The following is a 14,523-nucleotide window of genomic DNA, read 5'->3' as shown; positions in this document are numbered from 1 at the left end:
TGAAGTTCAGGCCTCCTGACTTTTATCTAGTGCTCTTTCTTGCATCATTTTGCCTCTGCTATGATGAACATTTTTTACATGTGCTTTATAACCATGTGGCTATAAAACATATTTTTATATGTCATTTGCAGGACCTAATACTTTTTTTCTTTTTCTTTTTTTTTTTTTGAGGCAAAGTCTCGCGCTGTCGCCCAGGCTGGAGTGCAGTGGCGCTATCTCGGCTCACTGCAACCTCCACCTCCCTGGTCCAAGTGATTCTCCAGCCTCAGCCTCCCAAGTAGCTGGGATTACAGGCATCTGCAACCACACCCGGCTAAATTTTGTGTTTTAGGAGAGATGGGGTTTCACCATGTTGGCCAGGCTGGTCTCAAACTCCTGACCTCAAATGATCCTCCTGCCTCGGCCTCCTAAAGCTCAGGGATTACAGGTGTGAACCATACACCCTGCCTGCAGTCCCTAATACATTTCAACCTTTTATAAGTCAACAGATACTCCCTGAGACGCTGGTATGTATGAGGCAGTCTGGTATTAATTGTAGGAAATATACAGGTAACATATAGTTTCTACCTTTGCAGATCTCATGGTATAATGGTGAAAATGACTAGAGCACTTTACTTATTCCTTCACCAAATATTTGTTACTCTGAGCAATGAGTTAAGGATAAGGCACTGGCTGGCTGTTAAAGATGTTGGGTGTTAAAGACAGAGAAAAAGCATCCGTTAATCTGTTCTAAGGAAAGTTATGATCTAATAGACAAAGCAAACACATTTGTATATAAATTATAATGCTGTATAAGTCCAACAATAGAAATATGCAAAAATACGGCAAAGGAAAATGATCAACTAAGATAAAATAGAGACACTTAAGAGACTGGAGGACTTGATAAGGTAAAGTGTGGTGAAAAGTGTAGAAAGATTAAAGACTGTGGTCAGACGGTTGAATGTTGTTGGAGTGAGCAATTTCAGAGGTAGAGCATTTCTCATGTAATGTGATCTAGTGTGTAGCCTTGGAGTGGGTTTCTGAAGTGGAGAGTTGAGGTCTAAGTGTAACAACTTTGAGACTGGCTGTTAACCAAGTTTTTGTGAGAGATGTTAGAGACATAAAAGTAATTTAGATAAGTCCTTTCTTTAAGGAGTCATGTCCTCTCTGAAACCTTTTCTGATTGAACCCCATATCCAGATATAATAAACCAGGCTCTTTTTGTCCCTATATTGCTATAATACCTATATCACTATATTTTGTTTTTATTTACATATTATCTTTCTCAACTATGCTGTAGGGTTCTTGAGGACAAGGATACAAAATCATTTACACCTAGTGTAATATGTGATATCACATATAACTTGTACACCATAAATATACATTGAGTTGAAGATCTTGTAGACTTAAAAACAAGAGACAAATTAAAAACGTACTCTGATAAAGGCATATTAATGTATGTACGAGAGTAGTGCTACTTCATCTGGCTGCATAATGAATGATCTAGAGAGCTTTTCAAAAAATGCCTCTAGGCTGGGCGCGGTGGCTCACGCCTGTAATCTCAGCACTTTGGGAGGCCAAGGCGGGCGGATCACTTGAGGCCAGGCGTTCGAGACCAGCCTGGCCAACATGGTGAAACCCCGTCTCTACTAAAAATATGAAAACTTAGCCAGGTGTTGCGGTGCATGCTTATAATCTCAGCTACTCAGGTGGCTGAGGCATGAGAACCTGGGAGGCGGAAGTTGCACTGCAGCCTGGATGACAGAGCGAGACTCTGTCTCAAATAAATAAATACCTCTACCCTGACAAACAAAACCTAACAAAAAACAAAATTATCATTTTTAGTCACACACCAAAATAAGTGAATTATATTGTTTTGCTAATCATAGGTGACTATTACTTATTATTATTATTGTTATTATTATTTTTTGAGACAGAGTCTCACTCTGTCGCCCAGGCTGGAGTGCAATGGTGCGGTCTCCACTCATTGCAACCTCCGCCTCCTGGGTTCAAGTGATTCTTCTGCCTCAGCCTCCCCAGTAGCTGGGACTACAGGCACGTGCCACTACACCCAGCTAATTTTTGTATTTTTAGTGGAGATAGGGTTTCACTATGTTGGCCAGGATGGACTATTACCTTTCTCTTAAATAAGTCTTCTATATTATATAATTATTGAATACTATCCATGTTTTACCTCAGCATTCTAATAGCTAAAATATGTTGATTTGGTACCTTCTTAGCTTGTCTGAAAGAAGCATCCTCTTGATAGTTTTGTTTTTTTTGTTTTTGTTTTTGTTTTTTTTTTGAGACAGGGTCTCATTCTGTCAACCAGGCTGGATACAGTGGTGTGATCACGGCTCACTGCAGCCTCAACTTTCTGAGCTCAAGCAGTCCTCCACCTCAGCCTCTTGAGTAGATGGGAACACAGGTGCACACCACTATGACCAGCTAATTTTTTTTTTGTAGAGACAAGGTTTTACCATGTTGCCCAGGCTGGTCTCGAACTCCTGCATTCAAGCAGTTAGCCCACCTCAGCCTCCCAAAGTGCTAGGATTACAGGCGTGAGCCACCGCGCCCAGCTGGTTATATACCTTAACTGTTTTTCCTCTCTTCTCTATACTCTGTAGCCAGATTAAACTTTATAATATACTGCTTTATACCACAAGAAGCAATCAGCCAAATCCAGAATATGGGAAGTTTTATTGGATAACTAGATTCTTCAACAAATAATTGGGATGGGGTGGAGGAGGAGTGATGGGAAGAGAGGGAAAGCTGTTACAGATAAAAAGAGCCGTATCAGCCAAATGCAGTGTGTGAACTTGGTTTGGATTCTGATGTGCATAAAACAATTGAAAAAAGATACTTTTGAGACGAGTGGGGGAAATTTGAACATGTACATGATATTAATATTAAGGAATTGTTAATTTTCTTATAGATGTTTATGACATTGTGATAATGTAAAGCTGTTATCTATAAAGATATATATTGAAGTATTTACAGGTTAAATGAAATGTACTCCAGCTCCTTCCTCCCCACTCCTCCCCAAAAAAGTTGGGGAGAGATAGACAAAACAAGATTAGCAAATGTTTATAATTTGTTGAAGTAGAGTAAAAGGTACATTTTACTATTTCTTAGCTTTTATCTTTGAAGATGTCTGGGAACTCCTGAGCTCAAGTGATCCTCTCACTTGGGTCTCTCAAAGTGCTAGGATTGCAGGCATGAGCCACCATGCCTGGCCAATTTTTAAAAAGGTTAAATTACAATTAAAGGATTTTCTTTTGAGTGTGTCCTAGAATGCTGTAGATATTTGATTAAATATCAGTGATCAATACAGTGATTACCTCAACTTCTTGTCTTTGATCTTCGGTGGTCTCTTCTGTGTCCTCACTAAGTCTTTCCATCATGAGCCCAAATTCTTTTGTTCTCAGTGGCATGTTTCTAGATTCCAGATTCTCATAAATTTTGATATTACCTTTACTGGAATGGAAGGAAATGAAAGAAGGTACTCCTGCAAACCTGGGAACCTTATGAAAGTTATGCTTTCCCATTTTAAAGCTGTTAGAAGAAGGGGAATGTTTCTAATGCTGATGTTTAAGGCAACTTATAATGCTGTAAGCTTTTGAATTATGGCTGCTGCTTCTTTTGCCCTTCGTGTCTAACATATACTTCTGGACTACTAAGAACTTTGTGCAAATTCTAAAAAGGCACTCCTTTGTGCCCTGAGCCATCATGACTTCACTGGAGAAGGGCAAGCTGGATTTCAACCCTCTTCCCCTTGCCCTTCTGGCTTAATGCCCTCGTGCACTGTCTACACAGCTGTAGCTGGTGAGCTTGTTGTTTCAGAATAATGAAGTTACATGAGTTTAAGTTTTTGGTGATGTGTGTTTCTGAGGAGTAGGTATGAAAGTTTGGAGAGCTATAGTGTAGGAATTATGTGAGCATTTGAATGTTAAAACAATGTATTCTTTTAATGAAGTTTTATAAGTTTTACAAGTATGTGGAAAAACAAGAAGCTATTCTCTGTTAAAACCCTGTAATTAGTGCTTCAGTGTATATATGTTTTTATTTTTTGAGACAGGGTCTAGCTCTGTTACCCAGGCTGGACTTGGGTAGGCAGTGGCTATTCAGAGGCACAACTGTAGTACACTGCAGTCTTGAACTCCTGGGCTCAAGCCATCTTCCCACCTCAGCCTCCTGAGTAGCTGGGACTACAGGCATGCACCACCATGCCCAGCTAACTTTTGTATTGGCTTTTGGTAGAGATGGGGTTTTGCCATGTTGCTCAGGTTGGTCTCGAACTCCTGAGCTCAAGCGATCTGCCCATCTCGGCCTCCCAAAGTGCTAGGATTACAGGTGTGACCCACCGCACCTGGCCCTGGTATACTTTTAAGAATCTCAACAATTACATTTGAAGGTACAAGCACAAAACTGCAGAACATACAACATATACACATGCATACAGCACCTTGCCTTAATGGTAGTTCAGTACCTGATGAGTAGGAAACACTATCACCATATTTGCTCAGCTCTAAGGTGTGTACATTACCATATTTTAACATTTCTGATATTCAGGTGCGTCTTACTTTTGAAGAATTTTTAAGCTACTGTTAAAGTGGAATTTATACTTAACAAGATTTCAGAATCAAGTCAGTATTGTAAATAAGTCAGTCTGAGGGGCTTTGCGAAACCTGAAGTTTTGAAGTTACCTTTGGATGTCTTAACTGAAAAAAATGTAACGGCTGAAGTTTTTTTCTTCTTAAAATTTCAGTTTTTGTAGTTGAAAACTGTAGAAATAGAAAACAAAAGCCACATTGTTAGGAAATGACAGGTCTTCTAATTTTAGTCTTTTTTTTTTTCTTTTTAAAATTTCCTGTTATCTTAGCTCAGAGCTGGGTTTCAGTCTCCAGTTTTCTAGCTAATTTAACCAATGGCAGCTTTTTGTTTGTAGTTTTATTACGGCATTGCTAATCCTCATTATATTTGTCGTGGCCTTGAGCAAAAAACTCAATTGATGACATTCACCTGTTTATAGTCATAACCATTTGGTAAATAACTTTAATTTTTGGCAAAGTAGCACCTGAATTTCTCTCATTTTACCAGACAGGTCTACATTTACTTTGGGGTAAAGCTATTTATTTTTCATATTGCTAGTTTAAAAAAAGAGAGAAGAGAGAACACTAATAAGTTAAAAACTCTTATGTACACATCCACGTTTTCACTTTGAGGAGCTATGAGAAATTGAATCTAACCAAAATTTACTTTTATTCTATTTTGAGAGCATTTGCATTTACCATATCTAATTTTTTTTTTTTTTGAGACAGAGTCTTGCTCTATTGCCCAGGCTGTAGTGCAGTGATGCGGTCTCGGCTCACTGCAGCCTCCGCCTCACAGGTTCAAGCAGTTCTCCTCCCTCAGCCTCCTGAGTAGCTGGGATTACAGGCGCATGCCACCATGCCCGGTTGATTTTTGTATTTTTAGTAGAGACGGGGTTTTACCATGTTTAGGTCTCGAACTCTTGACCTCATGATCTGTCTGCCTCGGCCTCCCAAAGTGCTGGGATTACAGGCGTGAGCCACTGTGCCTGGCTAAAGTTGTTTGTTTGTTTTTTTAACAGCCTTTTTTACAGCTGGCTAATTTACATCCTAAGATGCAAACAAAAGATTATGTTTGGTTTATTTATTTTTTTCTGGTTCAGCAGCATGCTACATTTCAAATGAAATTTTAAGAATTGATAGGAATAGAAAAATATTCTTCCCTATTAGATGAGGTCAGTTCTTTCCCCTTTTGAAAAATGATCAGTTTTGGTATTTTTTCATTTTTTAAAAAGTCATTTTATTCTGTACTAAGATGAAATTTTTCTTATCCAGGAGAAACCTGAGGTTGATAAGGTTAAGTAACTTGCCCAAGGTCATACAAATAATAAGTTGAAGAATAATGATTGAACCTAGGCACATGTAATTCCAAGACCAGAATTTTTGTCATTACACTGCATTTTCTCTGGTATGCTAATAATAGTTGGCCCTATTGAAACATTTATTAAGACATAATTGCTAGCCTGGGCAACATAGTGAAACCTCATCTCTACAAAAAAAAAAAAAAAAAAAAAAAAAAAAGCAGCCAGTTGTGGTGGTGTGCACCTGTAGTCCCAGCTACTTGGGAGGCTGAGATGGAAGGATTGCTTGAGTCCGAGAGGTCAAGGCTATAGTGAGCCATGATCATGCCACTGCACTCCAGCCTGGGTGACAGAGCAAGACCCTGTATCAAAAAAAAAAAAAAAAAGTAATAAAATGACATATTCTCTGAATAACTTAGATTCTATGTTCGTAAAAAGAAATCTGGCATAAGAATAGGTATTTCATTGTCTTTTACACAAATTATGTGCCTAGAGCAGTGTAGTAGTGCTGAGTTACATCAACAGTTATTGATTTAGTTACATTAATCATTCTGTCCTAAAGCTAATGAAGATTTTGACCCAAGTCTCAATAGATCTAAAAAATTTTGTTTTGGATTGTGTTTTCATTTTCCTTTCCTCACATTTTTAGAAATATGTCCTTAGTTTTAACAATATGTTGCTTAATGTCAGGTTTATTTTCTATACACTTTTTTTGTGTTGACTAGGAGCCCGTTTTTAATCTAGCAAGCATTTCATAATGGATGAATGAAATATCTTAGATCAGAAATGAAACCCTGAGTAACTGAATGTCTGTCTTCATAGCTGCCAGTGCTACCCTCTTTGGTTGGGATTCTCAGGTCCTATCTGTCATACCTGGGCTATATTGACATTAGACTAAGGAAAAAGGTGGCAACCTTTTATAAAGAGTTGTGATATGCTGAAAGAGGCAACAGTGGCAACTGAGGACTCAGAGGCATTTGATAATGCCTGCTTTGGTATTTGGATCAGCGGCCAAAATGGCTGAAGTAGCTATCAAATTAGCTAGCCATCAACTATCCTACTCTATTCTTTCCTCTAGTGAAGACACAACTTTTAGGAAGTTGAAAAAGTAGCTGGGCAGGTGGTGGTGTGTTGTGTTCTCAAGGTTCATTCTCTAATTATAGTGCATTGGACGTATAATCCTAGTTTTGTATTGCCTTTGAGTCTATAGTTAATTTGGATAATAAGACTGTGAGCTCCTTGGGCAGGAACAGTGTCTTGCTCTCCATTTCATTCCTATTTCTTGGCACTTAGTGGGCACTCAAATATTATTGAGTGAATGCATGATCCTTTCAGCCTCAGTTAAAGCATGAGATTTTCCTGAGGCTTTAACTTGGAGAACTCTTTGCCTTTCTTACTCTACAATATGATGAATCCACCAGAAAATAATGTCTTTTATATATTTATAAATATATAAATCACCAACCAAAGAGGTAGCACTGGCAGCTATGAACACAGACATTCAGTTACTCAGGGTTTCATTTCTGATGTATGACATTTAATTCTTCTATTTTTAGTTTTAGCCTCCAAATTCATTATATATTCACCACTGATAACATTTCATAAAAATGCATTTTCATAGACAGTTTCAAGTCAAGATTTAAAAGACTTAAGCTGTAAGTCCTTACCATCCCATGATAGTTGGTCTTTACCAAAGTAATTGATGCATTCAATTCTTTTAATAATTTTATACATAGTAAGGCAAAATTTAGAATTTGTGATCTTTTTTATATTTTTCACTAATATTTCCTGTCTCAGTTGCAGAGGGATAAGAGGGTTTGCTGAATATGATAAATAAGGAAAATGTGTATACATCTTCTACTTAAGAATGAGACTATACCTTTCAGGCTCTGCTATAGTAGTAGCCCTAAATGTAAGTGGTGAACAGCTCATTCTCCTGTAAGATGTTTATAGCATTTTCTAACACAGAACTATTCAGAGTGTAGTACGAGACAGTGCTGGCCCATGAGCTGTTTATTATTTGTGAGGAGATAAGTTCAGAAATTGAGTTTTTAGAAACTTGCATAGCAGTTTGATAGAACAAATTTATGTCTGTCAAATCTAATAATAACAAATTGGGGCTTATATTTGATATATATTTATTTTATTTTTCTAGTAATTCATTTTTACTATTTTTTAACAAAATTATTGGCCCATAATGAATTGGAAATTCAAAGAAAAAAAAAGTTCTTTACCAGAGATAATTTGCAAAGCAGTGTTCTAAAACAGTGGTTCACATCCTTTCATGTTCGCCTAACCTTCTAAATGATACCACACTCGAGAGGGTACGGAGTATGGGATATAGAGTGCTCTTTCCCTACCGGTAGCCCTCTGATAGAGAATCCTTATATTGAAAATAATTTCCCACTGACTTTCCCTTAATTGTTTCAATCTTTTCACTAAATCTAACTTAAAATTTTTTTTTAATAAATGGGTTTAATAAAACAGAACAGTGGTTATTATGAGTTCTGAGCTATGCTAGTGTAACATATTAAGTTGCAGTATCAAAATACTACCCCAAAATAGACCCATTCCTCTGAAGAATGGGCATGCTAACTATTTTTAGCAGGTATAATATAGTCACAAATAATGTGTTTTACTGAAACTAATTAATAACATAAATACAATATGTGTAAGATTTGGCCTAATATATAAAGCACTATGGGAGTAATGCCATTATAAATGCCCCTTTTGCCCTGGCCTGACCTTTATATCTTATTACTTAAAAATACCATAATTTTTTTAAAGTATACAAATGTAAATATTTCATACCTGTATGATTCCTGTTTATCGTTGAATAATAATTCATCGTATGCCATGTACTGCAGGTTGATTATTTTATTGATGGATATCTGGGCTGTTTCCTGCTTGGGTTTTTATGAATAAAGCTGTTATATACATATTTGTTTGAATTTTTGTGGACTTACGCTTTTATTTCTCTTGGGTAAAAATACAGAGAACAAGAATTGCTGGGTCTTAGGGTAGGCATATGTTTTTGATTTATAAAAAAACTACTGGAACTTTTTCCAAAATGATTGTGCCATTTTACACTCCCCACCAATGTTTGTGCTACATCTTTACCAAAAGTCTTTTTTTTTTGAGACAAGATCTCACTCTGTCACCTAGGCTGGCGTGCAGTGGCACAATTAGGGCTCATTGCAGCCTCAGCCTCCCAGGCTCAAGCAATCCTCCTGCCTCAGCTGGGACTACAGGTATTCAGTAGCAAACCTGGCTAAATTTTTCTGAATTTTGGTAGAGAAAGGGTTTCGCCATGTTGCCCAGGCTAGTCTCAAACTCCTGAGCTCAAGCAGTCCTTCCACTTTGGCCCCCAAAAGTGCTGGGATTACAGGCCTGAGCCACCATGCCTGGATGCCAACAGTCTTTTAAATCAGCAGTCCCCAACCTTTTTGGCACCAGAGGCTGGTTTCATGGAAGACAGTTTTTCCACAGACTAAGGTCGGGGACAGGCATGGTTTTGGCATGAAACTGTTCCACCTCAGATCATCAGGCATTAGATTCTCATAAGGAGCACATAATTTAGATCCCTCGGAATTGCTGTTCACAATAGGGTTGGCGCTCCTATGAGAATCTAATGCTGCCGCTGATCCGACAGGAGGCGGCTCTCAGGCGGTAATGCTTGCCTGCCTCTCACCTCCTGCTGTGCGGGCCCCGTTCCTAACAGGCCAGGGACCAGTACCAGTCCATGGCCCAGGGGTTGGGGACCATTGTTTTAAATTGTGATTTTAATTTGCATTTCCCTGATGGCCAGGGATGAGCACTGTTTCAGCGGTTTTTAGTGGTTTGCATATCTTCCTTTGTCAGTTGTTTAAATCTTTTGCCCATTTTATTTGTCTTCATATTATTGAGGCGTAGGGAATTTTTATGTCTTCTAGATACAGATCTCCTTTGTCAAGTATATGTTTTATGAATATTTTCTCCCAGTCTGTGACTTGCCTATTCATTTTCATAATGGTGTCCATTGTATTTTTTCAACATTTTATTATGAAAATTTTCTTTTATTTTTTTCTTTCTTTCCTTTTTTTTTTTTTTTTTTTTTTTTTGAGACAGAGTTTCACTCTGTCGCCCAGGCTGGAGTGCAGTGGTGCAATCTCAGCTCACTGCAACTTCCACCTGCCTGGGTTCAAGCGATTCTCCTGCCTCAGCCTCCCGAGTAGCTGGGGTTACAGGCGCTCACCATCACGACTGGCTAATTTTTGTGTTTTTAGTGGAGACGGGGTTTCACAATGTTGGCTGGGCTGGTCTCAAACTCCTGACCTCAAGTGATCTGCCCACCTTGGCCTCCCAAAGTGCTGGGATTACAGGTGTAAGCCACCACGCCCAGCCTATTATGAAAATTTTCAAGCATACAGGAGCTTGAAAAACTTTCATCGTGAACACCCATACACCCACCACCTAGATACTATCATTAACATTTTATTATACTTGTCTTTTTACATATGTGTCCATCTATCCTATTGTATGCATTTTAAGGTAAATTGCAGAATCAGTTCACCTCCCACAAATACTTCACAATGCATTATTATGAATTATAAATTAGAATTCATATAATTATGAATTAGAATTCAGTAACTGCAGCTTTTTTTCTTTTGAGGTAAACTTTTCGTACAGTGAAGGCACGAGTTTTTGTTTTTGTTTTTTTTTCGAGATAGAGTTTCACTCTTGTTGCCCAGGCTGGAGTGGAATGATCCCGGCTCACCGCAACCTCTGCCTCCCGGGTTCAAGTGATTCTCCTGCCTTAGCCTCCCCAGTGGCTGGTATTACAGGCATGTGTCACCACGCCCAGCTAATTTATATTTTTAGTAGAGACAATGTTTCTCCCTGTTGGTCAGGCTGGTCTCGAACTGACCTCGGGTGATCCGTCCACCTCAGCTTCCCAAAGTGCTGGGATTATAGGTGTGAGCCACCACGCCCGGCAAAGGCACGAGTTTTAAGTGAACATTGGCAGAGTTTTGATAAATGCATGCACCTGTGGAATCCTAAACCCCATCAAGATGTAGAATATTACCATCACTCTAGGAAGTTCTTTCAGGCCCAGTCCCAGTTAATCTGTATTTCCATTCTTCCAGATCCAGCCATTGTCCTGCTTTTTCTGCATCATAGGTTAGTTTTGTCTGTTCTAAAACCTTATAAAAGTGGATTCACATATTATGTACTCTTCTGTTTAAAGCATCTTTCACCTAGCCGTAATGTTTTTGAGATTCATGCATGTTGTTGAACATATCTAGTTTATTCCTTTTTATTGCTGAATAGTAATCCTTTGTATGACTATATCACACTTTATCCATTCTCTTGTGAATGTATACCTAAGATGTTTCCAGTTTTTGGATATTATGAATAAACTGTTGTGAACATTTTTGTGCAAGTCCTTTTGTGGGAATATATTTTCATTTTTAAGGGTAAATACCTATGAGTGGAATTGCCAGATTATAGGGGAAAGTGTGAGACCCTTTTCCATAGTGGTTGTACTAATTTATACCCCCAACAACAGTGTATGAAAGTTCTTTTTGTTCCACAGTCTTGCCAAATTTGGTGTTTTTGGTCTTAGGAATTTTAGCCATCTTGGTGAGTGTAGTGATAACCTCATTGTGATAGTGTATTGTACTTTAAATAGCTATTTCTCACATCCCACCTTCTTTAATCACTCTCCATGCACATCACACACCTCAGCTTTACTAGTTTTCTCTCAGCTTTTTCTGTACTACTTTAACTTTGCCTTCAATTTTCTATGCCCCTGCACTTTTATATATAGTTCACCGTAGGAGAGAACCTGTGCAGCCAAACCAGTGCTATTAAGAACCAATGAAATAAAATTTAGGTGAGTGTATATGAGTTTTCTTTCTTTGAAACATACTCTATGTTGCCTACCTCAGGGCATTAGAGGTTTTAAAGTTGAGTTTCACCACTTACAATGGTGACTTTGGGCAAGTTTCTTAGTCTAATGTTTCTGTTTTCGTGTTGATTAAATGAGATCGTGATGTAAAGTTTCTAGTGCAATGCAGAGTACAAACTAGGTCTTTATTGCTTTCCTTCTCTTTTAGAAGTGGTATATATTTGTAGGGTTTTCTTTTCCTTTATTTTATTTTATTTTATTTTATTGTATTTATTTTTTTTGAGACGAGTCTTGCTCTGTCGCCCAGGCTGGAGTACAGTGACGTGATCTTGGCTCACTGCAAGCTCCACCTTCCAGGTTCATGCCATTCTCCTGTCTCAGCCTTCTGGAACTACAGGCGCCCGCCACCACGCCTGGCTAAGATTTTTGTATTTTTAGTAGAGACAGGGTTTCACTGTGTTAGCCAGGTTGGTCTTGATCTCCTGACCTCTTGATCCACCCGCCTCGGCCTCCCAAAGTGCTGGGATTACAGGCATGAGCCACCTCACCCAGCCTAGCTTTTTCTTTAAAAAAAAAAAAAAAAAATTGTTTATTCCAAAACAAGGCCAGTATTCTTGCTAGCATAAATCAGTTATCAACGTGATTGTGCTTTTATATTTACCTTCTTTTTTTCCTCTTTAATCCTCCTTCCCCCCTACCCTTCCTAGCCTCTGGTAACAACCATTCTACTTTCTATATTCATGAGATCCACATTTTTAGCTCCTACGTATGAATGAAAATGTGATATTTGTCTCTCTATGCTTGGCTTATTTCACTTAACATAATGACCTCCAGTTCCATCCGTGTTGCCGCAAATGACATGATTTCATTTTTATGGCTGAATCGTATTCTGTTGTATATATATTCCACATTTTCTTCATATACTCATGTGTTAATGGGCACTTAAGTTGATTCCATATTTTGGCTGTTGTGAATAGTGCTGCAAGAAGTGGTATATAACTGAATGACTAAGAATTCAAAGCATCATTGCTTCAGTTAAATTTAGCACAACCTTACTTGTCAGATGGAAGGCATTCCCAATAACAGAGGCCTTATACTACATCATCAATATGGACATTACACAGGGCTCAATTTACTGAACTCCCCTGCTAAGTACAGAGGTAGAACCTCATACTCTAAAGTCGTCAGCTGAGAACTTGATACAGTTGTCTGATAAATTATATCAAGAATTAAGTATGTTATTTTAAGGGTATGCTAAAGGAACTGTACGCCACTTAAAGGGATTTTCTGGGACTTTTTTTTTTTTCTTTGAAACAACCACTCTGTACAATACAAAAGTTCTGAACTCTTTAAACATATATATTTTTTTCTTTTTCTTTCTTTTTTTTTTTAGACAGAGTCTCGCTCTGTCGCTCAGGCTGGAGTGCAGTGGCGCAATCTCTGCTCACTGCAATCTCCGCCTCCTGGATTCAAGGGATTCTCCTGTGTCAGCTTCCTGAGCAGCTGGGACTACAGGCATGAACCACCACGCCTGGCTAATTTTTGTATTTTTAGTAGAGATAGGGTTTCCCCATGTTGGCCAGGCTGGTCTTGAACTCCTGACCTCAGGTGACCCGCCCACCTTGGCCTCCCAAAGTGTTAGGATTACAGGTGTGAGCAACGGCGCACAGCCGTATCTTTCATATTTTAAGTTGATATAGTGCCAGTCAGTCTTTAAAGAGGACAGTATAAAAATGAACCATTCCCGGCTGGGCACGGTGGCTCACGCCTGTTAATCCCAGCACTGTGGGAGGCCGAGGTGGGCAAATCATCTGAGGTCAGGAGTTTGAGACCAGCCTGACCAACGTGGTGAGACCCCCGTCTCTACTAAAAATACAAAAAAAAAATTAGCTGGGCATGGTGGCACATGTCTGTAGTCCCAGCTACTCGTGAGGCTGAGGCAGGAGAATCGCTTGAACCTGGGAGGCGGAGGTTGCAGTGAGCTGAGATCGCACTACTGCACTCCAGGCTGGACAACAGGGCGAGCGAGACCCTGTCTCAAAAAAAAAAAAAAAAAAAGTTAACTGTTCTCTAATCTTTCTTGTGTGAAATATGAGGGCAGAGGTTGAGATCATGACATGCAGATAAGAATGACAACTTCAGTGAAGGAAATAGAGGAGCAAGCGGTAGACAGTAGTTCACTGTGAATTCTGTCCAGTCTCCAGGTTTCAGCAGCTTTGGGAAGCAGGCTAAACTGTTCTTGGGGTTCTTCAGGTTAATAACAATAAGCAAGGGTGGAGTGCTTAATCCTTTTAAGTGAATGATAAACACTGTGGAAGGCGTGTCTTCAAGCGCCCCACTCCCTCAGGGCTGTAGGTCACGTGAGCTTAAAGTACTTCCCGAATCCCAGCCACTGTCTCTTGTAGGCAGGGATCACAGTCTGAAACGACAGCAAGGAAGAGGTAGGCAGGGAAAACTAACTGGAAGGAAGTTTAAATACAGAAAGAGCAAAGTATTATCTAACTATAACAATGCCACATTTTACTGTGACTAAGGTAGAGGACCCAGAGGAGGGGGCAGCGGCTTCGATCTCTCAAGAGCCTAGTTTAGCAGACATAAAAGCCCGGATTCAGGATTCAGATGAACCAGGTGAGTACGCAACTTGGGAGCTTTTGGAACCTATAAAATGTTTCATGAAAGAAGTAACTAGGATATCAAAATTCAAAATGCCTTCTTTAGGACAGAGAAAAGTGTTGTGGTTGAGGTGTTTTTCAGTTACTTA

At 39.0% G+C, this 14,523-nt stretch overlaps 1 protein-coding gene across 11 annotated transcripts in view; it reads left to right on the top strand.

The window, feature by feature from the left end:
• The window catches only part of SLC12A6 (solute carrier family 12 member 6), a 108,274-nt gene that overhangs the window by 5,107 nt on the left and 88,644 nt on the right, over positions 1–14,523 (top strand). For 2 of the 11 annotated variants that reach the window (XM_047433396.1, NM_005135.2), the window contains exon 1: positions 14,131–14,390. The exons of the other annotated variants lie outside the window; for them this stretch is intronic. In XM_047433396.1, coding sequence (XP_047289352.1) covers positions 14,273–14,390 — 118 coding nt within the window. In that variant the 5' untranslated portion in view covers positions 14,131–14,272. Of the gene's footprint in view, positions 1–14,130; positions 14,391–14,523 lie in introns of those variants that run through there. 11 annotated transcript variants of the gene reach the window in all.

Source organism: Homo sapiens, chromosome 15 (assembly GCF_000001405.40).
Source record: "Homo sapiens chromosome 15, GRCh38.p14 Primary Assembly".
Lineage (NCBI taxonomy): Eukaryota > Metazoa > Chordata > Mammalia > Primates > Hominidae > Homo > Homo sapiens.
Note: the sequence above shows the minus strand (reverse complement) of the source record. Positions and strands in the feature narration are given on the sequence as shown.